At 45.4% G+C, this 27,427-nt stretch overlaps 3 pseudogenes across 2 annotated transcripts in view; all 3 read left to right on the forward strand.

The window, feature by feature from the left end:
* AOX3P (aldehyde oxidase 3, pseudogene) overlaps positions 1-2,370 on the forward strand; it is a 43,059-nt pseudogene extending 40,689 nt beyond the window's left edge.
* AOX3P-AOX2P (AOX3P-AOX2P readthrough, transcribed pseudogene) overlaps positions 1-27,427 on the forward strand; it is a 99,193-nt pseudogene that overhangs the window by 40,689 nt on the left and 31,077 nt on the right. For both annotated transcript variants that reach the window (NR_135011.1, NR_135012.1), the window contains 15 exons: positions 2,249-2,400; positions 4,347-4,440; positions 5,914-6,020; positions 7,813-7,997; positions 9,311-9,500; positions 11,537-11,629; positions 12,663-12,832; positions 14,055-14,169; positions 15,105-15,227; positions 18,383-18,480; positions 19,264-19,388; positions 20,112-20,245; positions 22,548-22,635; positions 25,484-25,570; positions 25,749-25,943. The product of NR_135011.1 is annotated as an AOX3P-AOX2P readthrough, transcribed pseudogene, transcript variant B (transcript). The remainder of the gene's footprint in view (positions 1-2,248; positions 2,401-4,346; positions 4,441-5,913; positions 6,021-7,812; positions 7,998-9,310; positions 9,501-11,536; positions 11,630-12,662; positions 12,833-14,054; positions 14,170-15,104; positions 15,228-18,382; positions 18,481-19,263; positions 19,389-20,111; positions 20,246-22,547; positions 22,636-25,483; positions 25,571-25,748; positions 25,944-27,427) is intronic.
* The window catches only part of AOX2P (aldehyde oxidase 2, pseudogene), a 52,998-nt pseudogene continuing 27,798 nt past the window's right edge, over positions 2,228-27,427 (forward strand).

Genomic DNA, 27,427 nt, shown 5'->3' on the forward strand with positions numbered 1-27,427 from the left:
GTTTGAACTCTTATGAGGATTCAGGCAATAGAGCAGACAGGGATACTTCAATCCCCACTGGGGTTGAACTGCCCTTTTCCCTCTGTGTCAAATAAGAGGTGGTGATGCTGGTCTATGTGATGCTTCTGACCTTAATAATAATTATGTTTTTTTGTTTCTGGTTTCTCCTCCACTAATAAGGCTCTGGGTCTTCTCCTTAGGGAGAAGGAATTGTATGACTGAAAAAAAAAAAAAAAAAAAAAAAAGCTTGATTTTCCTAGTACTCCTGCAACGATAAGGCAGGCCAGGACCTTCCAGAAGTTAAAAAACAGGCTCCACTGAAACCTGTGATAAGGAAGCAACAGACCATCACTGATGGGTCTGGGATGAAATTAGATCCCCTGTTACAGAGTACATTTTAGGAGACGCTAAAACAGAAACAGGGTGAGAACTCCAGGCTGAGACATTCCAGCGGGGAGGGATAGTTTAGATTTGTTTAGCATAAGGATAACAAGGAGCAGCTCATGGTTCCCTTATCAACTAAATTAGCTGAGATTACTGAGGCAGCGGGGTGTTGCATGAGTATGCTGGCAAGGTGGGGGAGGTGTCATGCCAAGTACATTCTTAATATTGATAAAATACAGCTATGTAGGAGGGTGAAATATTCTCAAAGATTAGTCAACAAGAGATAAATCAAAGCCCAACCTGATAAAAACAGACTAACTGCAATTAGAACCAGCCCAGCTAGTAATGTCAAGTCACTCTACGTTAGTGTTTCATTCTGCAAACCCCGGGTGTGAAGGATTAATTTTAAAAGGCTGCCTAACTCATCTCCTGGGGGTTTGGGTGACTACTTCACTTTTTAAGACTGATTTGAACCCTTTCATCCTTACTGAAGAAAAACCCTGAAGCTCATGCTAATATCCTGCCAATACTCACAACTTATGGCTCCAAAGTTGGTTGAAATTTTGAATTATTTCCTTGCCAGTTAGCAAATAGCATTACTTCGATCGCTAGATGCTCTCCCATTACTTCCCTGGACCCTTCCCAGGAGCCCCCAACTTCCTCATACCCAGTAACGCTCAACATAAATGGCTGGGGCAGCTCCTTACATGGGCCAATTGACCAGTGCCCCTCACAAAACTGATTGTTGAAGATTTTGAGTATCGGGTGCAAAACCTGAAATCCAAGCATTACAGATTTTAGACAACAACCTGGGGAATTGAATGACCTTTGCCTTATTGTAATGCCATTCGATTTATCCCCCTTAATCACAAAGCAACTTTGCATAGCTTCACCACAATCAGTCAGGAGGAGGTCATGGAAAATTCTGGTAAGGTCTGCCACCTGCAAGTTTTTGCTGTCATTCCTTCTCTCTAGCCTCTATTTCCTTGTGTCTGTCAAAAGAAGAATGTGGACCAGCCCAGGAGATCTCACTCTGGCTGTGTAAAAACACCTTGAAGCCTTTTAAAAATCTGCAGAGATCCAGGCTGGGCGCAGTGGCTCACGCCTGTAATCTCAGCACTTTGGGAGGCCAAGGCAGGAAGATCACTTGAGGTCAGGAGTTCGAGACCAGCCTAGCCAACATGGTGAAACACCGTCTCTATTAAAAATACAAAATTAGGCTGCGCAGGTGGCTCACGCCTGTAATCCCAGCACTTTGGGAGGCCGAGGTGGGAGGATCACCTGAGGTCAGGAGTTCGAGATCAGCCTGACCAATATGGAGAAACCCCGTCTTTACTAAAAATACAAAATTAGCCAGACATGGTGGCGCATGCCTGTAATCCCAGCTACTTAGGAGGCTGAGGAAGGAGAATCGCTTGAACCTGGGAGGCGGAGGTTGAGGTGAGCCAAGATCACGCCATTGCACTCCAGTCTGGGCAACAAGAGCGAAACTCTGTCTAAAAAAAAAAAAAATTAGCCAGGGCTATGGCAGGTGCCTGTAATCCCAGCTACTTGGGAGGCTGTGGCATGAGAATTGCTTAAACCTGGGAGATGGAGGTTGCAGTGAGCCAAGATTGCACCACTGCACTCCAGCCTGGGCAATAAGTAAGACTCTGTCTCAAAAAAAAAAAAAAAAAAAAAGGCAGCAGAGATTCTAATTGAATTGATCTGGGAGTGGGGCATCTGTGCTGTTTTTGAGTTCCCAGCGACTCTCTGTGAGCCAATGTGGATACTCACTGCACTGGCCAAACACTGAGGTCCTGGTGCCATGATTACAATTCAGCTGCTCCTCTTATGTCACCAGTAAAAACAAGTTGCTTTCCAGGACTGACAATAGGCGCTGGCTGCAGCCTGGCCCAGATGCAGGACATCTTGGCTGAGAGGGTAGCTGAGCTCCCAGAGGAGAAAACACAGACGTACTGAGCCCTCCTGAAGCACCTGAGGAGTCTGGCAGGCCAGCAGATCCGGAATATGGCGGTATGTTCCCTGGTTTCAACCACTGGGCACACCGCACCTATTTCTGAACCTCACTGAAATGTTGAGATATGCGTTGGCAGAATCAGTATGCAAAAAGGTCTCAGCAGATTGAAGCAACAGGCGCAGTAAATGTTTAAAATTAATAAGCATTATTTAATAAAAATATTTAAGAAACAACTATAGGCCGGGAGCAGTGGCTCACACCTGTAATCCCAGCACTTTGGGAGACCAAGGCGGGTGGATCTCTTGAAGTCAGGAGCTCGAGACCAGCCTGGCCAACATGGTGAAACCTGTCTCTACTAAAAATACAAAAAATAGCTGGGCATGGTGGTGCACGTCTGTAATTCCAACTACTTGGGAGGCTGAGGTGGGAGGATTGCTTGAACCCAGGAGGTAGAGGTTGCAGTGAGCAGAGATCATGGCACTGCACTCCAGTCTGGGCAACAGAGCAAGACTTTATCTCAAAAAAAAAAAAAAAAAAAAAAAAAGAAGAAGAGGAAGAGCGATAAGTCAAGCTCAAAAGAGTGGCTAAGCAGCATCACAGGTGAGAAAAGGATGCTATGGTTTTGCTAGTTTCATGATAAGCTTGTCCAAGAACTTAGTTTAGTCTTAGGCTGCATTAACAAAATAGAGTATCTAAAACAAGGAGGGTAGCCTTCTCTACTCTGGGCTGTTCAAAACACAGCTGGAGAAAGATGGTCAGATCTGGGAGGCATACTTGAAGATCTGGTTGATTTTGATCTCAAAAGAAAGGAAAAGAGAAACAGTTAGGTTTTTGAAACACATATGCTCCTTCCCCTGCATACCCTCAATTGTATAGCAGAAATCTTTGGGATATGGAAAACCAGGGAGGGCATGTTTCCTTTAAAACAGCTCTCAAGTGATTTCAAAATGTTCTCTCTCCAGTCAGGAACTCTGACGAGGTACACTGGTGAGGAGAAGGTGGCAGGAGAATGAGGGGTTGGAAACCACCCCAAAAAGAGGACTAGGGGTGGGAGGACAGGCAAAGGGAACATGAGAGCTGCCTTGGACTATGTCTAGACTCCTGAGGTCTGATGTGTTATTACATATGAGCAGAGAGTAGAAGAGTAACTGACAGATGAGGATCCAGGGAGCCAGATTTCAGCTCAGGGGAAACAAAAAAAAATGTAAAATGGAACTGCTCATAAAGGAATGGGGATTCCCTGTCCTCACCTGTGTTCCAGTCCAGACCGCAGCAACCAGGAGGTCACCGTAGATTCCTTCCCTATGCTGGGAGGAGAATCTTGAGTTCAATGGCCAGTCATTTCCCTCCCAAGTTCTGAAATGCTACAGGCTCCATCAGATCTGAGTGAGGGCTCCCAAAAAAGAGTGAAAAGGCAATTCTCTGTCCAACTGTGTGGATGCCTCAGAACACTGACACAGCCCATGTGAAGTCTGGCCATTTCAGAAGCCCACAGGAGATGAGGCTGAGACCCTTTGCACCAAGGCAAGATGGCACCTCTGCAGCCAACACCATGGCCATCTTCACTGTTGCCAGGGCTGAGTGGGGTGGCTCACTCCCGCTGAGCCTCCCTGCTTGAATCTGAATCCCAGGCCTGCCCCTTCCTAGCTGGGGACATTGGTCAAGTTTCATAATTGCTCTGTACTTCAGTGTCTTCATCTGTAAAATAGGGATAACGACACCCACCTCACTGGGTTGTTGTGTCAGGGGTTAGACAGCGCGTGGAACACACTGGTGTTAGGTAAGTGCTAGGCACCCTCGAGTCCTCTTCCCATCCAAAGAAGCCAGTGGGAGGGGCCCTCCCTGACAAGCTGAACCCACACCCTCTGCAAAAGAGAGAAAGACTGAACTGACTTAGATTCCTCTTGACCCTTTCATGGCCACTAAGAGGACCATCAGCAGGTGCCTTCGGGGTAGAGAAGCTGAGAGATGGAATGACTGCGCTGTAACTCTCTCTCCTTAGTCCTTAGGGGGGCATGTGAGAAGCCGGCATTGCTATTCGGACCTGAATCCAATTCTTGCTGTGGGCAATGCTACCCTCAATCTGATTTCAGCAGGTAAGCTGCCTCCAAACACTCTGAACAGCACCTAGAGATCTTTTGTCTTTTCTACTTATTCTTTTAAGGAATTGCTTTAAGTCAGAGCCCAAGTCTCTAGTTCTCAATTCACCATGGGGAGCCCAGCTCATGAGGGAAGGTGCACTGATCCAAAAGGCAGCTGGTGTTTCCTTCTGACACCACACACGCACACAACCTGGGACCACACACTCAGTTAGCTCACATGTTCGCCCACGTGTCTTGCTTGACCAGTAAACACCAGAGGTGATGTGCAGAGGCTAAGCTGAGGGTGAGGTTGCAGTGCGCACTCTCCCTGTGGGCCAAGGGACTGCTCCTGCTCCCCCATTCTCATCATGGGCTCCCTCCGCCAACACACAGTCCGAGGCCCCCACACAGTGCCCTCAAAGTTGCCTCCCTACCCCCCAGTTGCTGTGTAAGAAGCTACAAGGCTGGTGTGGACACACAGTGGACATCCACACAGGCTGTGGTGGGCCCCTGGGAAGGGGTAGGCAGTGATTGATTTTAATTGCTAGCTGAGAGGAACGTTCCCTTGCGGTGGCTGCCCGCTAAACCTCCCTTTCATCTCCCCAAGCACCCTGCACACTCACACTGCCCCCAACTGCCCCCCAGATACTAATACCACCTTGACTGGATGCAACTACATGCCAGGCTGTGCTGGGGCGTTGGTCATTACCATTGGCTGAAGGTCTGCTTTCCCAGCTCAGCTAGAGCCATCTCCACCCAGAGCACAGCCCTGGCTCCAGCAAAGGCAGTAGATCAGCTCGCTGGCCCAGCAACAGGGAGGGGCCAGGCAGAGATCAACCGTGGGAGCCTCCTTTGGGGCACCCTGCTTCCTCACAAGCATACCTACATTCCAACCAGCACAGCGCTCACTGTGCCAGGGATCAAACGCATGTCACAGTCCCCAGGCCATAGTTTGATCTCCTCACTGCACTCCTGTGGGCCAGAGGGCACAGTTGTGGTCCCCAAGAGGGGGCAACTGGGCTAGAAGGAGGTTTCAGAATTTTTCACTTTGTTTTAAAGGTGTAAGTGTCTGTCTCAAGAGCTGACAACAGCAGGAAGAACACAAGGCAAAGTCAGTGGCTTGAACTGAACTGAATAGTTAAAAGTGCAAACAAACCGTGTGTTGGCTTAAAGTTGTTGACTTAACAAGTGATCATAAGCACTGAACAGGTTCTATGTAGTTAACCACAGGCCCAGTGAGCCTTCAAGGCAGAAGAGACCCCAGTTCACATAGCATATATGCTGATGAGAAAATAGTAATGTCATTACGGTGCCACCACCTGGGACCCCATGATGGGACCCTGTGACTTTGCCGTGGACTCAGACCTCAGCCTTGCTCTGTGTAGAGGAAGCTGGCCTTTCCTTCTCTACTGCTGACATTTAAAAGAACAGAATAATCTTGCTCTCCTTGTTGTGACTGTGCAGAAATATAATTCTCTTCCACAGAAGGTACGCGGCGGATTCCTCTAAATGAACATTTTCTTGCTGGGTTGGCAAGTGCAGACCTTAAGCCAGAGGAAATTTTGGAATCTGTGCATATCCCGCACTCTCAAAAGGTCAGAATTCCGCTGGTTGCTTTTGAGGGTGGATTTTCCTTTTTCATAACTGAGTCCAGTCATCTTTAGAAATCTAAAAACAGATGGAAAGAAAATAACTCTGCCCTGCAAACCTGTTTCCTGTCCAACTGCAGATTGGGCCAGCACCAAGGCCCTCCGACAGCCAAGAGCAGGCAGCTCCGGGTGTGGATGTGGGGCTGTTGTTCTAGCTGCAGGGTGGAGCATGCTGAGGGCCTGTGGTCACACCACCACACCCCTCATGGCCATGAGTTCAAGCTCTCGGGCTGTCAAATGGAGTGTCTCTAACTGACCCACAGGGAGATGGGGGCTAGGGCTCAGCTGTCCCACACCCCACTCTAGCCAATAGTTCATGGGCGCAGGAGGGCCTCTAGTTGTTCGCTAACTCAGAATCTCTGCGGCTGATGTAGCCACCCAGCCGGCTATGGAGTTGACCTTCTGTCCTCACTGCCTGCTCCCTGTGCCTCTGCCAAAGCTGTACCTGAATCTAAGAGGATAGTCTTCCCAGAGAGAGGCAATGCAACACACACACACACACACACACACACACACACACACACACACCCCCTAGCTCAGCCCCCAAAGTCCCAGAGAGGAGCAGCCAAGACTCTGGGGCACCAGGATGAGGATGGCCCACTCCCCATCCGGGGCCTTCTGCTACAGTAGCAGTAATATTCTTCTACAGGGGCATTGGTCGTTACCATTGGCTGAAGGTCTCCGCTTTCCCAACTCAGCCACAGCCATCTCCACCTGGAGCACAGCCCCGGCTCCAGCCAAGGCAATAGATCAGCTCACCGGCCCAGCAGCAGGGAGGGACCAGGCAGAGATCAACAGTGGGGGGCTCCTTTGGGGCACCCCTGCCTCCTACAACCATGCCTACATTCCAACCAGCACAGCTCTGACTGTGCCAGGTGTCTTGTTAGATTGTGTCTGTGTGATTAATTAATAGCATCAAAAGCCGGGGGGCAGCCTGGTTATGGAGGGAGTCATAAGTTATGCTTTCAGCCATGTGTGATCTTCATTAGTTTTTCCTTTGGAATGGAAACTTTGAAATGTGTTCCCATTTAAATCCATGAAAAGGCAGCAGACGGAAAAACAAGCCCACTCAAACATGTGCACCCTTCGTGGCGGCACAGATGGAAATGCACAAAGGGGCACAGGCCGTCTTCATGGACCCCACCTTGGCTCACCAAAGGTCATGGTGCCAAGGGGTCAGCTGGGACAGCCATCACCTTTGACTCTTCCTCCTGACACAAGATTCCCTAGCCACTGCTGGAAAGCTTTGCTCGGCTCCCTTCTGTGCTTTGCCAAGTGGAAAAGCAATCATTTCTACAAGCCAAGCAATGTGGTGGGTCTCCTTTGCACTTTTAGCAAATCACCTTTAAAAGCCCCTGCATTAGGAGGGCTCCTCCAACCTCATGGGGAAAAGGTGTCTGAAAACTGGAGGGAATGGCCCCTGGCAATGCCAGCACATGGACGGGTGTCCAGGCGTGAGTTCCCACAGCATCCCGTGCAGAGGCATCCTGGCCTCCAAGGGAGAGTGCGCGGTGGTCCCTGTTCCTTGAGGGTGCCCGAGGCCTTGAGAGTGGGCCTTGGGGAGGACGCTGTTCTCACTTTGAACGAGAAGTCAGCCAAGGTGTCCTCTAATTGTGCCAACTGTCCTTGGTGTCTTGTTAGATTGTGTCTAAGTGATTAATTAGTGGCAACAAGAAGCATAAACCATGTTCTTAGTTTTGACATATCAGATAACCCCAAATGGTTTTTGTCTCCACAGTGGGAATTTGTGTCAGCCTTCCGACAGGCTCAATGCCAGCAGAATGCCTTGCCCCACGTGAATGCCGGCATGCGAGTCCTTCTCAAAGAAGGCACAGACAGCATTGAGGACCTGAGCATCGCCTATGGAGGGGTGGGGGCTGCCACCATCAGTGCACACAGATCCTGCTAGCAACTCCTTGGGAGGTAAGCCAAGAGCCCGCACCCTGAGGGGGAAGCTTGCTGTTAAATAAAACAAGTGGAGATCTGTCTCTGGCAAGCATCAGTAAAGCCCTGGGAAGATGGAAACTATTACATGAAAATCACTGCCTGTTCTTTCTGCCATTTTGCTAAATGAATTAAACCTTATTTGACTTTGATTAATTGGATGCCAGTCTTTGGATGAGGTATACAACAAAAGTGACCTGGCCTGAGTTCAGCCAGCAGGTGATTTTTTCCCATCTGCCCTCGTTCTCTTACACAGATCGACAGCCTAGCCATCCTGATGCCATGGCTTATGCCTATAATCCCAGCAATGTGGGAGGCCAAGGCAGGAGGATTGCTTGAGCTTAGGAATTCAAAACCAGCCTGGGCAACAAAACAAGACCCTATCTCTACTATATATATATATGTTTTTTTTTTTTTTTAATTAGCTGGGCATGGTAGCATGCACCTGTAGTCCCAGCTCCTCAGGAGGCTGAGACAAGAGGATCACTTGAGCCCTGGAGGTTGAGGCTGCAGTGAGTAGCGATCATGCCACTATACTCCAACCTAGGTGACAGAGCAAGACTGTGTTTCAAAAAAAAAAAAAAAGTCTAGCAAACCCACCCTGGGCAGTGTCCAAGCAGCACCTAATGCTCCCACCGTTAAGTGCACTCTATTACTTCCTCAGTGAAGTCAGTCTCCAAGTCTGAGTCCCGTTCAGTTCACAATGGAATTGGCCCTAGTGGTCTGTTTTGTTGTTGTTGTTTTTGAGATGAAGTCTCACTCTGGCACCCAGGATGGAGTGCAGCGGTGCAATCTCGGCTTCACTGCACCCTCCACCTCCTGGGTTCAAAGTGATTTTCGTGCTCAGCCTCCCAAGTAGCTGGAATTACAGGTGTGTGCCACCACACCCAGCTAATTTTTGTGTTTTTAGTAGAGATGGGGTTTCACCATGTTGCCCATTCTGGTTTCAAACTACTGGGCTCAAACTATCCAGCTGCCTTGGCCTCCCAAAGTGCTAGGATTACAGGCGTGAGCCGTCATTCCCGGCCTGCACTGCTTATTTAATTCTTGATTCTAGCATGTCTGGCTGTGGAACATGTTCATGTTTAAGTTGCAGGTCCCATTCTCACCCTGCCATGACCCTTGGGCCACTCGATGCAGCCTCCCCAGGCCTTGGTTTCCCTAAGCAGCTTGATTAGGTGATTTCTGAGTTTCCAAGGAAACTCTGGGGTCTCTAAAAGGTCACTATCCCATATCATGCCATGCTAGAAACTGCCCTCTAACCAATTCCTTCCTGCCTTCAACCCTCCCAGGTGCTGGAATGAGCTGTTGCTGGATGAGGCTTGCAGGCTGCTTCTGGATGAAGTCTCGCTCCCAGGCTCAGCCCCGGGTGGCCGGGTGGAATTCAAGAGGATGAGGACCCTAGTCGTCAGCTTCCTCTTCAAATTCTACTTAGAGGTTCTGCAGGAACTGAAGAAGCTGGTGAAGCTAGTCTCTGTGCCTGTGGGTGCTCTGGTGTATTCGCTGGCTGGGGCTGCTGAAACAAAGTAGCACAGCCTGCCTGGCCTGAACAATAGAAACATGTTCCTTCACAGTTCTGGAGGCGTCAGCAGGCCTGGTTCCCTCTGAGTGCTGTGCAGGGGACTCTGCCCCCTGCCTTTCCCCTAGCTCCTGCTGGTTTGCTGGCAATCTTGGGCACTCCTTGGCTTCTAGAAGCATCACCCTGATCTGTCTTCATATGAAGTTCTGTGGGTACATGTGTGTCCAAATTTCCCCTTCTCACAAGGACATCAGTCATATGGGATTAGGCCCATCTTAAGTAGCTCATTTTAACTTGATTACCTCTGCAGTAAAGGCCCTGCCTTATTTGGATAAGGCCACATTCTGAAGAACTGGGGCTGGAGTGCTGGGACTTCAACACAGATATTTAGAACAGACACAATTTGACCCATAGCATCTGGCTCTTATGTGTTCCTTGCACCCATAAGCTCACAGCTTTCCCATCACTTTGGCAAATTGTCTCGTGCACAGCCTGTGCTGTTACCTGTCACCTGCTCTGAGTCAGGCCTCGTCAGTTCCCAGCCGGCCCTCCTCCTGGAATCCAGCCCTGAGGGGCTACATGAGGCTCATGGCGCCAGACTCTCTGCAGTCCGCAAATGTTGACTGCGTGCCCTGAACACTGAAACACTGTGGTGTCCCTGCTGCCAGTTTTTTCTTTTAAAATCAACTTTATTGAAGTGTAATTTACACATCATAAAATGTACCTATTTAAATTCAGCGCATGTTGACAAATGTGTATATCTGTGTAGCTACCACCTCAAATTTTCCATTATCCCAAAGAGTATCCTATGCCCCCTTGTGTCACCATCTTGCCCCTGGCCCAGGCAACCACCAATCACTTTGCTGGCACTAGAGATTCATTTTGCCTCTTCTGTAATTTTATGATCAATCTAAAACATAAAATAATATTTTATTTTTCAAAACAACCAAAACTGCCCAGGCATGGTGGCTCACACCTGTAATCCCAGCACTTTGGGAGGCCAAGGGAGGCTTGGGCCCAGTAGTTGGAGACCAGTCTGGGGAACATGGGGAAACCCCATCTTTATAAGAAATAGAAAAATTAGCTGGCCGTGGTAGCACATATCTGTAGACTCAGCTACTTGGAGGCTGAGGTGGAAGGATCTCTTAAGCTTGGGAGGTCGGGGCCACAGTGACCCATGTTTGTACCACTGCACTCTAGCCTGGGCGACAGAGCAAGAGCCTGTATGAAAAAAAAAAAAACACACACACACCAAAAACTGATGTGTATGCTAATGTTTAAATAGCTTTCTAGATTCTTCTGATTGTAAACTTTTGGAATAAGCTAAGCAAAGCAAAATATATTATCTCTCTCTCTTTCTCTCTCTCTCTCCTTCTCTCTCTCTCTCCACCCCTCCCCTGACCATGATTACAACTCACCCTACCTTGTATTCCCTGTTCCCCAACCACAGCTCACCCCAAGAGCCTGCTGTTCTAAGGTATCTGATTTTCACAGACTCAGATGAAGACCCTCATCAACCACACTCACCAGGATAATCCTTGCTGCCATTTAATTTCTGAATCAAGACACTTGACAAGTTTCAGTGACACCCAGAGCACCCTCCCCACCTCTACCGCTCTCCCAGGAGAGTTGAGTTCCTGAGAAAAGCAATCTGGCTTTGAGTCCTTTTGTGTGCAATGGATACCTGCTTATTCTGGGATGGCTTATCTAGCCCATTTTCCTTGCTTCTCCTCCTGCCTCTACCCCTACTCTCTGGCAGGCCTCTGCCTCCTCAGGGTGGCTTGAGGATCAGATTCCAAGCAGTCAGTCCAGGTCCTCATTATGTGGAGGGAGGAGGGGAACAAGAAACATTCATAAAACATGAAGCCGGGGCAGGCAGTATGGATCCTGGTTATGCACACTATGCTGGATACATTAGCCAAGTCAGTTTCACGTAAACCAAAGCCCAGTTTAACTGTAGCTAACCAGCTTATCTTTATTGTTTTGAATCACCTTTCAGGACAGCCGTCATCATTCTGAAATTTCAGACCAATTCCTAAGCGCTCTCGAAGATTTCCCAGTCACAATACCCCAGGGAGTCCAAACGTACCAGGTCAGTGAGTTTGATTTAACTGAAACCTGCAAACTAGAGCTGTGCTGAGCGAGCAAGCTTTTCAGAGCTGTGGTTTCAAGTCTGACATTCTAGTCGTGGCTCTTTGCTTAGTCCGCGTCAGGGAGACGCTGGAATCTGAGGTCAGGCCCAAGCTGCTGCTAGATGAGCTCAAGGCTGAACCGTCCAGCTAATCTACAGTCTAATCATTATAGTCTCTTCAAAGTGATATTCTCTGGGCATTTGTTTGATATTTACTCAGAAGAGCAACCGAGCCAGAAGGTTCAGCCCCCAGCTCTGATTGCAAATGTTTAATCTCCAGTCAGCAAACAAATGCCCTGCGAGTAACTTAACTCACCGTTCTGGCAGGACAGTTTAGAAATTATGGATTCTTGCTACAGCACAACGCCTCTCCCACCCCACCTCCACATACATGCACACACACACACACACACACACACACACACAGAGCTTCCCTGAGAGGAGCTCCAGAATAAACACTATCTCCACCTCCTTACAGCCTAGTGATGTTTTTGTGCCACTCCCAAGGGCAGCCAGGACACCTTATTCTGGATCTGGGGGGACTCTGTTGCCATCCCCCAAACCCTGTGCCAGAGGCCCCAAACAAGTCCATACTTGGGCTTCGGGCTTGGATTTTGGCATCCCACCTTGGGAACTGTATCACTTTACCCCCCATCATCATGAGGACAGTACCCGTGGACAGACTGATCATTGGAAAGGTGAGGAGGCAGGACAGCGAGACCCCTGAGAACACCACCAGGGAAAAGAAAATGCCAGAAGGAGAAGCTGGGGTGCCCCTTCACCTACTTCGCCATTTATTGCCACATAACTGAAATAACAATTCACTGTTCTAGTGGCATCATCAATGTGTCACACTCATCATCTGGCCCACTCCAGTGTTTGTCACCCGAGGGTGACCATCCGATTTCTCAATCCTAGCTCAGGAGTGTTGGTGATAGGCCAGGCCACTTCTGAAAATTAAAGGCTTCTGAGGCAACTCTTGTCTTCCCTGTAGAGTGTGGATCCTCACCAGCCTCTCCAAGACCCAGTTGGACACCCTATCATGCACCTGTCAGCTCTTAAACATGCCACTGGGGAAGCCATGTTTTGTGATGACATTCCCATGGTGGATAAAGAACTTTTCATGGCTTTGGTGACCAGTAGCAGGGCTCATGCAAAAATCATGTAAGTAAACGAAGAGCTTTCAAGAGCCTTTTAAAAGCACACTTGGGGACCCCTCAGAGGAATGCGCCCATGCTCCTGCCATGTCCTGAACTTAAAGGACCTAAAATGGAAAGAATAAAGAAAAGGTTGCCAGCTCCAGGAGGAAGGGAGAGCATCTAGAAATGAACATCATGGAGAGAGAATAAAAATCACTGGCTAGGCTCAGTGGCTCACATCTGTAATCCCAACACTTTGGGAGGCCAAGGCGGGCAGATCACCTGAGGTCAGGAGTTCAAGACCAGCCTGGCCAACATGGTGAAACCCTGTCTCTACTAAAAACACAAAAATTAGCTGGGCATGGTGGCACACACCTGCAATCCCAGCTACTCAGGAGGCTGAGGCAGGAGAATCACTTGAGCTTGGGAGGTGGAGTTTGCAGTGAGCCAAGATCGAACTACTGCACTCCAGCCTGGGCAGCAAAGTAAGACTCTGTCTCAAAAAAGAAAGAAAAATCACAGTTACAAGCCTTTTGTTTCCCTCCTAACCTCACAAAACCTCAGCTCCCTGCTACAGCCTCAGACATGACTCAAAGGCACAACCCTGATAGAGAGCTGGTATTGAGGTGGTGGTGAAATACCCACTTCATGCCCAAGAATGAATGGCCCCTGTCCCAACCTTCAAGAACGCCCCTTGCCAAGGCCACACTATCCCTTCTCCACCTCCCAACCCCCAACAGCTAAAGTGTTGTCTCCTGGCCCAGCAGGAGTCTCTTGGACCCTACTCCTTGGCAGGTCTGTTCTGATTGGTCAGGACCTAAGCTGGATTTGTTGTCATATATTCCGATTTTCAACCATGTTCTATCCCTCCCTCAAATTTAGGGCCCTCAAAGCTTGCTGATTTCTACTTCCTCTTTTTTTAATTTAGAGACAGAGTCTGGCTCTGTCATCCAGGCTGGGGGCAGAGGCACCATCATAGCTCACTGCAGCCTTGAACTCCTGGGCTCAAGCCATCCTCCCACCTCAGCCTCCTGAGTAGCTGGGACTACAGACATGCGCCACCACCACACCTGGCTAATTTTTATAATTTTTTTTGTTGAGACAGAGTCTTGCTATGTTGCCCAGGCTGGTCTCAAATTCCTGGCATCAAGCAATCTCTCCCTTCTTGACCACCCAAAGTACTGAGATTACAGACCTCCACCACCCTGCCCAGAGTGATTTCTACTTCTTAAATATCTCTTGTTTAGATCAATTGATGTGTCCAAGGCCCTTGAACTACCCGAAGTGGTTGATGTGATAACAGCTGAAGACATTCCAGGCACCAATGGCGCTGAAGGTGACAAATTGCTGGCTGTAGATAAGGTACGTCTGGGACATGCTCTTCTAGATGATTCTGTGTAGACAATCACCAAGGTACCCCTCCTGCCAGCTGTTCAGCTCCCAGCTCTTCCTGCCTTTGGGAGGTGGAAGCGCCGAGCCTTCTGGCAGCTGTCTACCCTGCCTTTATTCAGCCCTACTAGTCCGGAGTCAGGAAATAACATAGTAAAAGGAAATGTATTACAGAAAAGCAACAAGTCCTAGTTCTGCCACTGTGTGCTCTTGAGTCCATATGAATTTTTAGAAACACAAGTCAGTACACAACAGGAGCCCCACTATACAAAAACTTTATCTTTAAACTCTAAAATGTCATGAAGGCAACATGTGTCAACCAAGCTGGACAGAAGACATGGTAGATTCAGGTTACGGCCAACCTCACATCCACTCTGAGCCTTACGTTCACTGAGTTACATGGCCAATGGAACTGTCTGTATTATTTAAATTATTTTTTCATTAAACATATTTTTTAGCCAAGCGTGGTGGCTCACGCCTGTAATCCCAGCACTTTGGGAGGCTGAGGTGGATGGATCAGTTGAGTCCAGGAGTTCAAGACCAGCCTGGCCAACATGATGAAATCCCATCTCTACTAAAAATACAAAAATTAGCCGGGCGTGGTGGCACGCACCTGTAATCCCAGCTACTCAGGAGGATGAGGCAAGAGAATCATTTGAACCTGGAAGGCAGAGGCTGCAGTGAGCCAAGATGGCACCACTGCACTCCAGCCTGGGCAACAGAACGAGACTCTGTCTCAAAAAATATATTTTTTTTAATTTTTAGCCAAGCAGATGTAGTCAAATGCGACTCCAATGTGGTTACTATTGCTAAACAGCGACATCTAAGACAGCAGCCACTGCTAAGGTTGAACTAAGCCTATTCCCACCCAGAATTTTGTATCTGCTTCATGTGTGTACTTTCCACAGGTAGTCTGTGTGGGCCAGATCATCTGTGCTGTGGTTGCAGAAACAGACGTACAGGCAAAACGAGCAGCTGAAAAGATAAAGCTCACCTATGAAGATCTGGAACCTGTAATCTTCACGATCAAGGTAAACAGGGCTGGCCGGTCTCTCCCTACGGTTGTAGAATTAAAAGTACCTTTGTAAAAATCTTAATGAAGGATCTAATTGTTTTTCCTTGCCACTGGTTTGCTCTGGAAAAATCAACTTTCTTTGGAAAACATTACTTGCATGAGCTGAAATTATCTTTGGTTCCAAGGAGTGGAAAAGACAGAAGTTTCTCACATTCAAAAAGTCTAGAAGTGGGCAGTCCAGGACTTCTATGGCATTCTGTGTGTTTAGGATCCAGCCTTCTTATATCTAGTCACTCCATCATGCATTGCTTCCTGGAGGGCACATTTGGTCCACAATGGCCACGGAAGCTCTAGCTGTTACATCCACATTCCAGACAGCTGAGAAAATAAGGTGATGAAGAAGGGTGTGCCCCCTCCCTTTAAGGACACTTCCCAGTCCTTAAAGGGAGGCATGTACATTGCACATGCCTTCCTCCATCTCTTTGTTTGGAACATGGTCGCATGCCACACCTAACTGCAAGGGGAGCTGGGAAATGTGGATTTTATTCCAGGTGGCCAGAAAACCACTACAGATCGGAGACTCTATGACTTGAGGAGGAAGGTGAGGATGCATACTGGGAACAGTAATGTTTTCAAGGTAGAGCCCAAATGCAGTGGAACTTTCATGGTGGAATTCCACAGAAACTTCACTCTCGTTTCTGAGTCTAGATAATGATATTCAAATGGTATTTCGGGGAAGATAACGGAGTGAGGACAGACAATTCAGGTGTGGACTGGGGTTTTCAGGTTCTGATTCAGTGAGGGACAGGTTCAGAGTCAATGACTTGAGAAAAGCTTACTTGTTTGTGTGCTTGTGACAGAACATCAAATGTGTCCAGAGGCTTTCATGAACCATTGGGACATTTTAAAATGTAACTAAATGGTACAAATTGCTCAATATTTAAAGTGTTTTTTTAAAAAAAAGTTTCTTGATCTTCCTAAACCAAATCAACTTTGTTCCAAATTCCCATTTGCCAAGTTTGCAAGAATCCAGGCCATTTTTCTTGGCTCATTCCTCTTCCTTGGGTTGAACTAGGATCCTAATAAGGGTTTTTGAAATTGCCCTTCTAACCCCACTTTCCTCAAGGGGGAAATGGCACCCAGAGGACACACCCACGAACTATTCTAGAATTCAGAATGGGTAGGGATTTAGAGTTCCCTCCGAACAAGACTGTCCAGAGTCATCAAAACAAAATCCTCCACAAGTCATAAAATTGTCATATATATAATACCAATAGTGCTTCATCCATCTATTCATTTATTTATATGACTTTATAGATCAGAGGCAACATAGGGTCATGGTTACAAACACAGATCCTAGAACCAAACTGCCAGATTTGAATAGTGGCTGCACCACTTACTAGCTGTGTGACCTTAGGCAAGTTATTTAACCTCTCTGTGCCATGGTTTCCTCATCTGTAAAATGGAGGTAGTAATAATACGTATCTCATTAGTTTGTCATAAAATTAAATGAGTTAACAGGTGTAAAGCACTTAGAACAGTACCTGGCACATGGTTAGCACTCACCCAATATAGCCTATGTTATAACAATATTATACTGTCTTGGTTGGGCATAGTGGCTCATGCCTGTAATCCCAGCACCTTGGGAGGCTGAAGCAGGTGGATCACTTGAGGTCAGGAGTTTGAGATCAGCCTGGCCAACATGGTGAAACCCCGTCTCTACTAAAAATACGAAAATTAGCCAGGTGTGGTGATGCATGCCTGTAATCCCAGCCTCTGGGGAGGCCGAGGCAGGAGAACCACTTGAGCCCAGGAGGCGGAGTTGCTGTGAGTCGAGATCACACCACTGCACTCCAGCCTGGGTGAAAGAGCAAGACTCCATCTAAAAAAAAAAAAAAAGAGATTATGCTGTCTTATGACACATTTACAGTATGGCAATAAACATACTTTCACATGTACCAGGATGGCTTCTGAGATCTTAGTATAACAGAAAATGAAAAAATTCAGCTATATTGTTCCTTGTCTGCTGCTTTGAAAAAATCAAGTGTTCATCATTAGATAGTATGTTTTTAAAAACTTAGCCTGGGCTTGAACACTTCCTTTATCACTTATTTACAGTGTGACTTTGAGAAAGTTCTTTTAACCTCTCTAAGCCCAGTTTCCTCATCTAGGAAACAGAGATCATAACAGAATGAACGTAAGGATACAAGTACATACGCTGTTATTGCACAGTGCTTAGCACAAAGCAAGCTCTCCATCAATATTAGCTGCTCCCAGGAGCATCATCAGCAAGAAAGGCTATGGCATCTGAGGCCATCAGAGCCTAGGAAGGCAGGAGACAGGTGTCATTCAGAAGTATGAAAAAATACCTTGGTTCTAAAGGCTAAACAAGGATCCGCTGTCAGTAGGTCAGTCCACAGAACCAGTCTTTATTTGTAAGTCAGTTCATGTTATTGTCAGGGGGAAGAAAAAAAAAACATAGAACAAAGAGCTAGAAAAGCCCTTATGAGATGATGCCAAATACTCAAAGAAAGGAACAAACTTCCTATTAGGTTGGTGCAAAAGCAATTGCAAACTTTTATAGCAAAAACTACAATTGCTATTGCACCAACCTAATACAATGTGTACTGGGCTTTTCTGCCCCAGAGATGTGTAATAACTTGTGTCTTCCCTCTCAAGACAGCCTCAGTATTTTTCAGATCCCTGAGTGAGAGGTTCTTGTACCTGAGCTACCTAAGTAGTCTAACACAAGCATTTTTCTTCAAGGAAAAGGTAAACGAAAAAAAAAAGGCAGATTCCCAAACCTCACCCATCATGCACATTTGACTTATCTCATGTTCCCTGGAGAGTCACATTTAAATAAGAAATTAGTATTCATCGTCCGGGATCATCATAGTGTCCCCAGCCCTCAGTTATGAACGTAGCTTCCTTCTGAAGGTTTCGCTAATCCTTCTTGCTGGTTTTCTCTGCAAATCTAGAAGACCTTTCCTTGGACTTCCCATCTCTGCAGCCAGCCTACCGCTCTAATTCTCCCTTGCTTGTTTGACACCTTTCATCTGTCCCGGGAGACAGTGATTTTCCAGAGCATACTGGCTTTTAAGAAAAAACTAACAGTGGAAGGAAAAGTCGGAAGAACTGGCTTTTATGCTTTTTTGTTTTTCTGCAATTTAGGATGCCATAAAACACAATTCATTCCTGTGCCGTGAAAAAAAAACTTGAAAAAGGAAACGTTGAGGAGGCCTTTGAAAAAGTCGACCAAATTGTTGAAGGTGAGCTCCCAGGGATACTTAATAGACTCTGCCTGATTCTATTCTGAAGCAACCATCAAAAGTGTATGATTTCCCCTCAGAAAGTCCAGCCTCTAAAGTCTTGGTGCTTTGCCAAATTTCTCTTACATCTCTTCCTTTCAAATTGTGTGTGTGTGTGTGTGTGTGTGTGTGTGTGTGTATGTGCAGTTTTGGCGTTGGTGGGTAGGGAGCAATAGCATAAATAAAAGAAAATCTCTAAGATTTTGGTTTGGGCAGAGTAAGGAACAAAACTTGGCACTTTTAATTTGTGATCCAGAACTATTGTCTCTGAAACAGATTGCCACAGGACAAATGCCTGGTTCCTTCGTCAGGATAAATCCAGGCCAGCCAGGCAGGGCACGGTGACTCACACCTGTAATCCCAGCACTTTGGGAGGCCGAGGCAGGTGAATCACCTGAGGTCAGGAGTTCGAGACCAACTTGGCCAACATGGTGAAACCCCATCTCTGCTAAAAATACAAAAATTAGCCAGTCATGGTGGCAGGAGCTGTAATCCCAGCTACTTGGGAGGCTGAGGCAGGAGAATCGCTTGAGCCTGGGGGGCGGAGGTTGCAGTGAGCCGAGATCGCGCTGCTACACTCCAGCATGGGTGACAGAGCGAGACTCCACCTCAAAAAAAAAAAAAATCCAGGCCAGCCAGTCCACATCTTACTGGCTTTTGAATTCTCCAAGACGGTGGCTCTCCAAGACGGTGGCTTCCCACCAGCACACACCTTAGGAGTTGTTCTGTGCTTATGCTTAACAGGAGAGGTCCATGTTGGAGGACAGGAACATTTTTACATGGAAACACAAAGAGTGCTTGTTATTCCAAAGACAGAGGACAAAGAACTGGACATTTATGTGTCCACACAGGACCCAGCCCACGTGCAGGTGAGGTCCAGGATAATACCCACGTCCCCACCTTCCTAATTCCATGATCACAGTCGATCCCACAGCCTCACAATCACTGGCCATTTTACCTGCAGAAACCTGGAATCCAAGCATTAGACATCAGACATCAATAATGCAGCCAAGACCTCAGAACCTTTTTTTTTTTTTTTGGTCTTTTCAAGTAAATAAAAAAATAGTCACAGTAATTTTAGGTTTCAAGAGTACGTTCATTTGCATCATGCTTAGATGAGCTCTGTGATGAGATGGCATCACTAAACTATTTCTGTACTTGATTTTTCTCTAAAATAATCATCACAGATAACCTTTGGAGTCAACACATCACTTTATAGTACATTTTCATTTCCCCAGTCACAAAGTGCTCTAGGTTTAGCTGCAAACACATCATCTCCTTGGTAGGTTGTCAGGAGTTCGCCGGCTTTCATCTCCTTGGGACTTTAGACTAGGAACCCAGCTTCTCACAGGAATCCAGGGCTCTGACAGTTTTCCTTCTGGAAAATACCATTTTTCTGCTAGAAGGGCTGCTCTGTGCGGACCAACGGTGTTTACGAGCTAAACAGAGCCCCACCAGACAGATTCAGACTATCTCCATTTTTTTTACCAATGGTAGATGTGAATGAATTCTGCTGGGATGCTGTTTCAAGAAACAAAAAGCTTCTTTTCCATTTCACTCTTATAAACCTTCTTGTTATCTCACTTTTACAGAAAACAGTGTCCTCTACTTTAAACATCCCCATCAACAGGATCACCTGTCATGTAAAACGAGTGGGTGGAGGTTTTGGAGGGAAGGTAGGAAAGCCAGCTGTATTCGGGGCTATTGCAGCTGTGGGTGCTATCAAGTAAGTATGGTTGGGGATGCTTAGGGATACAGAATGGCATCAAATGCACAGAGCTGAGGGCAAATCAGTGGCTGACAGTCATCTGGGCTGCCATCATAACCATGTGTGTGTCCTTGGGCAATTCAGCCTCCTGTCTGTTTCTTTAAAAAATGTAAATAATCATACCTACCCTCCCACACTTTTAGAGTTATTGCAAAAGTCAAATGTACACAGGACTTTGAATAGCTGACATGCTATTGAAAGGAGCAGTGGTACTATTAGCTGAATACCTCCTGAGCTTCAGGGAAAGTGAGCCGTTGAGGGGTGGGGCAAGTCACCCTGCCCAAGTGGAGTGCTAGGGGAGGCTGCTCCCTGACTCTTCTTTCCTGCTCTCAGACCAAGAACAGGGTGAGGTAAGGAAAGAAAGGCTCTTCATCCTCTGCCTCCCTGCACCTGGGAAGGGCTGCGTCCTCAGAGTCTGCTCAATGGACAGATGACTCATCCTCAAAGACAGCTCCCAGGCTGACCTCAGCGGAAGGCTCACTCCTTTGCTGTTCATGCCTCAGATTTGTATTTAGTTGGTGCTGCTTTTTCTGTTAATGGTTCATTTTCTGTGGCTAAGTATTCTGTCAGAGCCCCAGAGGGCATGCAAAGTTTACAGGCCCTGCTTCATTTGACAACTCTTGTAGTTCAGAGCTAGGTCCTGAAACACTCAGACATATGTCTCAGTCCTCAGTGAGAAGTGGGAAAAAGCAGGATCTGAATCCCATCTCCAATTCTTTCCATAATTAAATCCACTCCACTCACACCCACTGGGGATTCAGCACAAGATAATCAGTTCATTGAATTCCCCCCAGGCGTTGTGGCTTTAAGACTTCTCAAACACGACTGCACGTTAGAATCATCTGGGCAGCATTTAAATACCAGTGCCCAGGCTGCCCCATACTGACCCAGGCATCCGTATATTTTAAAACTTCCTCAGTGGTTCCACTGTGCAGCCAAGTGTGGCAACCAGTGCCTTAAGATACAACTCTACCTTGGTACCCAAGGGCCATGCATTAAATGATCCCCAGAGTAATGTTCCCAAACCTAATAGTAAGTAAGAGTTGCCTGATGTCATAGAAATTCCTGCCTCAGCTGGGCATGGTGGCTCATGCCTATAATCTCAGCACTTTGGGAGGCTGAGGCAGGAAAATCACCTGAGCCCAGGAGTTCAAGATGAGCCTGGGAAACATGGTGAAATCCTCATCTCTACAAAGATTTAAAATAGAATAAAATAAAAATAGCTGAGCACAGTAGCACGTGCCTGTGGTCCCAGCTACTCAGGAGGCTAAGGCAGGAGGATTGCTTGAGCCCAGGAGATCAGGCTGCAGTGAGCCGTGTTCATACCACTGCACTCCAGCCTGAGTGGCAGAGCAAGACCCCGTCTCAAAAAAGAAAGTCCTGCCTCCCCATCCCAGCACCACTGAATCAGAATTAGCAGGGGATGGACCTGGAAACTGCATTTCCCTGATGTTCCAGATTGTCCTCACAATTAGGGAACACCAGGAAACCCTGCACTAGAATAGTGATTTTCAACATTTGCCTGAAGACACCTGAATCAATATCACTCAGAAAAATGCATTCTAAAGCCCCTCCCTGACCCACTGAATCCAAATCCTAGTACAAAGGCCCAGGAATATGCATTTTCACCAGCGTGCCAGAGGATTCTTCAGCACTCCAAAGTCTAGAAGCCTCTGCTCTGGAGATGGAGAAAAGCTGAGGCTCCTCCCTGAATGAGAGCCCAACTTGGCCAGCATAGCCTTCACGGATGAGAATGGAGACGCTAACCCAGACATCCTAGGATGAGTGTTTGGCCTTGTTTTCCCAGTAGGGTTGTTAAGTTTGCATTTATCTGTTCACATTCTTTCTCTTTTGTAAATAGTGGTGGAGATAATGCAAATATCTGGATCTGGGTGAAGGTCAAACTTGAAGCTATAGAATTCAACTTAACCGAATGTGACATTAATACTTTTAACAAGATCTCCAACCATTGAGTTATAGACCACAGAGACAATGAAGATTTAGTCATATATTAATAATTCACGTTAGTGTCTAGCATATTGTATGATATTAATACATTTATATGGGATAAATGAATGGATGGATGGTTGAATAAAGAGTGGGAGAATGGATAGTGGATGGATGGATAATAGGCAGATACATTGATGGGTGGGCAGATAGTTAAATGAGGGGATGGATAAATATGAGTAGATAGGTGAACGAGAAGATGGATGGATGGATGGATGGGATGGGTGGAGAACCTAAGATTTATTTTCTTTAGAACTGGTCACCCCATTCGTCTCATCCTTGATCGTGAAGATGATATGCTAATAACTGGAGGAAGGCATCCATTATTTGGAAAATATAAAGTGAGTATTAAAGATTAATTATTAAAATATCTCATTTTGGCTAGGCACTGTGGCTCACACCTGTAATCCTACCACTTTGGGAGGCCAAGGCGGGCAAATAGCTTGAGCCCAGGAGTTCCAAAACCAGCCTGGGCAACATGGGGAGACCCTATCTCTAAAAAAAATACAAAAATTAGCTGGGTATGGTGCCACATGCCTGTACTCCCAGCTACTTGGGAGGCTGAGGTGTGTGGATCCCTTGAGCCCAGGAGGTGGAGGCTATAGTGAGCCAAGATTGCACCACTGCACTCCAGCCTGGGCGACAGAGTGAGACCCTGTCTCAGACATAAATAAATAAATAAATAAATAAATAAATAAATAAATAAATAGATAATCTGATTTTATCTGAATGGCTTTGTTCTTTTCTATCATTTTGATTTTGCTAAATTCTAAAAACAAACTTAGCACCTAAAATATTAAATGAGGATGCTGTGTATTTGAATATTCATAACATTTTATGAGGAACTTTTAATAATTCTAGTAAATAATTGTGAAGAAGTTTAATGATAAAAATACAATTTCAAATAATGATCAAAACACTCCTTGAAGGAATAAGGATTTACATTAGTGGTTCCTCAAAAACAAACAGACAAACACTGATAGAAGGTACAAACATTGCTATGCCAAACCTTCTTGACTATACAAATATTTTTCAGTAGAAATGTTTGGAGACAATTTGACCATTGACCATTTTAACTGCAAAATCATTTTTTAGAAGTGTTTTTACCAAGTGGCTATGATACTGTCACAAAAGCTCTTTGCATGTAGGAAAAAATAATACAGTAAGTAGTGAATTTAAAATTGTTTCAGACTGCATTTACTGCATTTTTATATAACTATAATATAAACATCTTAAAAATACTTGCTGGCCTCGAGCTTACAATACTACTTTTCAAATTTGTCATTGAGCTGTTAGGATCATTCTAATGTAATCTAAGTCGTATCGAACATACTTTACGTGGGAATTGCTTGTAGCATATACATAGTTAGATTTCCTATCTGATTTTGTCATTGTCTTAGATTATCTTCCCTGTATTACTAAAGCCACAGTTTTCTATAGCACAGAACAATTTTATTTCTTCCATTGGCATTAATAATTTTTATAATTAGAGAGGGAGATCCTCTCTAATAGTTGGCCGATTCAACTGTTTATTTGCTTTCAAATGCACAGATATTAATAGTCACAGCTATTATTGTCTTCTAGGACCGAGAGCAATGTAGAGACACACTGCTAAGATTGGAGCAGTTGCTGTTGTGGTGATGGCTGTGCTCTTATCAAAGTTATGAGATTCTTTTAGTACTAATACTTGTTAAGAAGATTCTAGACTGTTAATATTTTGGTAATTATAGTAATATAAAGTATAAAAGAGGGAAATAGATTTTTTGAAAAATCCAAGTTTTATTTTATATTTTGGCTGGGTGTGGTGGCTCACACCTGTAATCCCAGCACTTTCGGAAGCTGAGGCGGGTGGATCCCCTAAGGTCAGGAGTTCGAGACCAGCCTGGCCAACATAGTGAAACCCCATCTCTATTAAAAATACAAAAAAATAACTGGGCGTGGTGGCATGCACCTGTAGTCTCAGATACTTGGGAGGCTGAGGAAGGAGAATGGCTTGAACCCAAGAGGCAGAGGTTGCAGTGAGCCAAGATTGTACCACTGCACTATAGCCTGGGCGAGAGAGCAAGACTCTGTCTCAAAAAAAAAGTCCAAGTTTTATTTTATTTTTTAAGAAACAATTTCAATTCCAATATAATATATATAAACAATTTCACTTCATATATACATATATATATATATATACACACATATATATATATATACACACACACATATATAATCCTTCAGACACAGCTAACAAAGTTTTGCTTGGTTATTCAGAACTATTTGTAAATTAGGATAACATGTGTTTATGTTTAAATAGTTTCTTCCAAATTTTTGAAAAGTTTATATGAAATAGTTTAAGGATTCTGCTACCTTATTTATAGTACTATTTTGCTTAGCAGTCCTTTCTTCATGAAAGTCAAAGGTAAACTTCAGTCAAAGTCTAATGTTAACCCTATAGTTATATATATAGTCGTGTGGATCCTTCAGTTGTATTTATCCCTGCTTTCAGAAAGGCAAAGGGACCTGGATCAATCCTCGTTTGGTAGAACTACAGTAGGGAGTGGGGATTTTTCTTTTCTTTTTAATGTGGACTGTATAGACAAAATGGTCTGGATGGGTGGAGGGGAGTGGCAACACTGAAAGAATGCAAGCTGCCTTAAGCTCTTCCCAAACAGTAACAACAGCACGAGCTCAGGTTTGTTAGGTCAGGTAAGCATATACAAACATCTTCACCACCTAGTGAAATGAGAGCAGTCCCCATGCATCCATTCAGGGACCTCAGCTTCAGAGGCTTTCCCATAACAGGATACACTGTGATTCATTCCAACACATTCTGGAATTCCAGAGACTTTTTCACCAGGGAGGAAACCACACACTAAATTAGAAAGAAAGTCAGTAAAAAAATGAAGGGGAATCTTCCAAGAATAAGGATGAAGAGGGTGGCAATTATAGTCCAGGAGACAAGCAAAGTCTTTAGAATCCCATGCTGACTGTGAAGCCAGAAAATCACATGTTGGAAGGAAAGAGCTCAGCAAAATTCAGCTCAGAAGAAGTCTCCATCAGTCAAGCAAGGCATGGTACACCATAAAGCAAACAGGGAGCTGAGTCTGGCCTCTGTCCTGCCCTGTGGGGGAACTGGGCTATGTCTCACAATTGGCATGCAAATTTTGAACATCTCAGTAAATAACTATCATTTGGTGACAGGTAGGATTCATGAACAACGGGCGGATCAAAGCTCTAGACATTGAGTGCTACATTAACGGAGGATGCACGCTGGATGACTCTGAGCTGGTACGTACACCAGAAAGCAGCAACGTGCTTGACCATGAGTAGAATGCCAAATTTCTAGATGACTCTTTATGAAGTTTATTTCCTAATGTAGTTAAATTCTACAAGCCGTTTGACTCTGTACTTGACTTTCAGAGAAAAGAAAAAAAAAGTGATGATAAATGTGAATATCCCTTTTTAGGTAACAGAATTTCTAATACTAAAGCTGGAAAATGCATATAAAATTCGCAACCTGTTCAGGTTCCAGGGCCGTGCATGCATGACAAATTTACCATCCAATACGGCCTTTCGTGGATTTGGCTTCCCACAAGGAGCCCTAGTAACAGAATCTTGCATCACAGCTGTGGCAGCCAAATGTGGCCTTCCACCAGAAAAGGTAAGGTTGCAACAAAGGCCATAACCAAAGTTGCTGATGAACCAGACTGGGAAACCCAGCTTCTTTGACCCAAGGAAACACACTAGAAGAACCACATGAATTAGCCCTGGCTCAGAATTCAAAGTGAATTAAAAGCTACCTAAAAAAACTCACCTCACCCTATCTTCCTCCTTCCTTACTTACGCAAACATCTCTTTTTTTTCATTTGTACCAAAATAATTACTCTACTTAAAATTCAAACCACACCGAAGTAATCAAAAAAAGGGAATGCCCCTTTTTCCACCCCCATCCCTCTTGGTCAAGGGTAATCATTGTTAACAATTCCATGTTTATTGTTCTACCCCTTTTTCTATCTTTGGCCACCCATTTGTATTCATACACACATACCTAAACATTGACATATAACATATATGTGCACACGTATGGTTATTTACCAGAATGGGACCATAGCATACATATTACTCTGCCCCTTCCTTCTCCTACAGGACAGTATGCCATGGCCATCTTTCTATGTCAGTAGAATGGTCTGCTTCATTCTTTTTCATGACTGAATAGTACTATGTAATGTGCACGTACCATAACTTATTTAACCACTCCACTATTAATATACATTCTGGCTGTTACCATTTTTGGCCATTAAAATGATGTTACAATAAACATCTTGGTACATATGTACCCAGGTATATGTTTGCCTTATTTATCTTTAGGATAAATTTACAGAAGTGGAATTACTGGTGCACTTGAAAACTTTTAAGAAATACTGCCAGAAGAACACCCTCTGAAAATACTGTTTTTCACAATAGACCAGAAGGTGCACAGGATGTACAGTATGCTGGACTAGAGGGAGGCAGCTTCTGGAATTGAGATCATGGTCAATAACTTGCTTCCACTCCCCACACATTCCAATCAGAGCCCACCCTACCTTTTCCATTTCTGTCCCCTGTTTCCCCAATATAGACCCCCTACTCCAGCAAGAACTCTCCTATGTATTGTCCCTAGAACTGCTTTGTCCCTAAATTCAACAGGAATTCCAGGTTTGTGATTGTCGGGGTACTTCCTACAAACAAGAGAACACCTAATATTTTGTACAAGGAAGGCAGTAGTTATCCTAAGAGAAGTCACGTACAGTGTTCCACGGGTACCAGAGAAGGAAGGCATCACGTTGGCATGGGGAGAGGGGAACCAGGAAGGACTTTCTGGAGAAGATGGCACTTGAGATAGGCCTTGAAGAATAATTGGCACAGATGTTGGAAAGGTGATCTAGGCAAGTAGAACAGCATGAGCAAGAGTGTCAATGTCTGTGTAGTTCAGTTTCCTTATCTATAAATGACTCACCTCACAGAGTTCCTGCAAGAATCAAATAATTTAACATTCATTACAATATTTGTTTTATAAACTGGATAGTATTATTCCAACGTTGTTGCCAATAATAATAATTCTTTTACTGTGATTAGAATAAAATGGAGATGATTTAAAAAAAACTT

The sequence above is a fragment of the Homo sapiens genome, chromosome 2 (assembly GCF_000001405.40).
Source record: "Homo sapiens chromosome 2, GRCh38.p14 Primary Assembly".
NCBI lineage: Eukaryota > Metazoa > Chordata > Mammalia > Primates > Hominidae > Homo > Homo sapiens.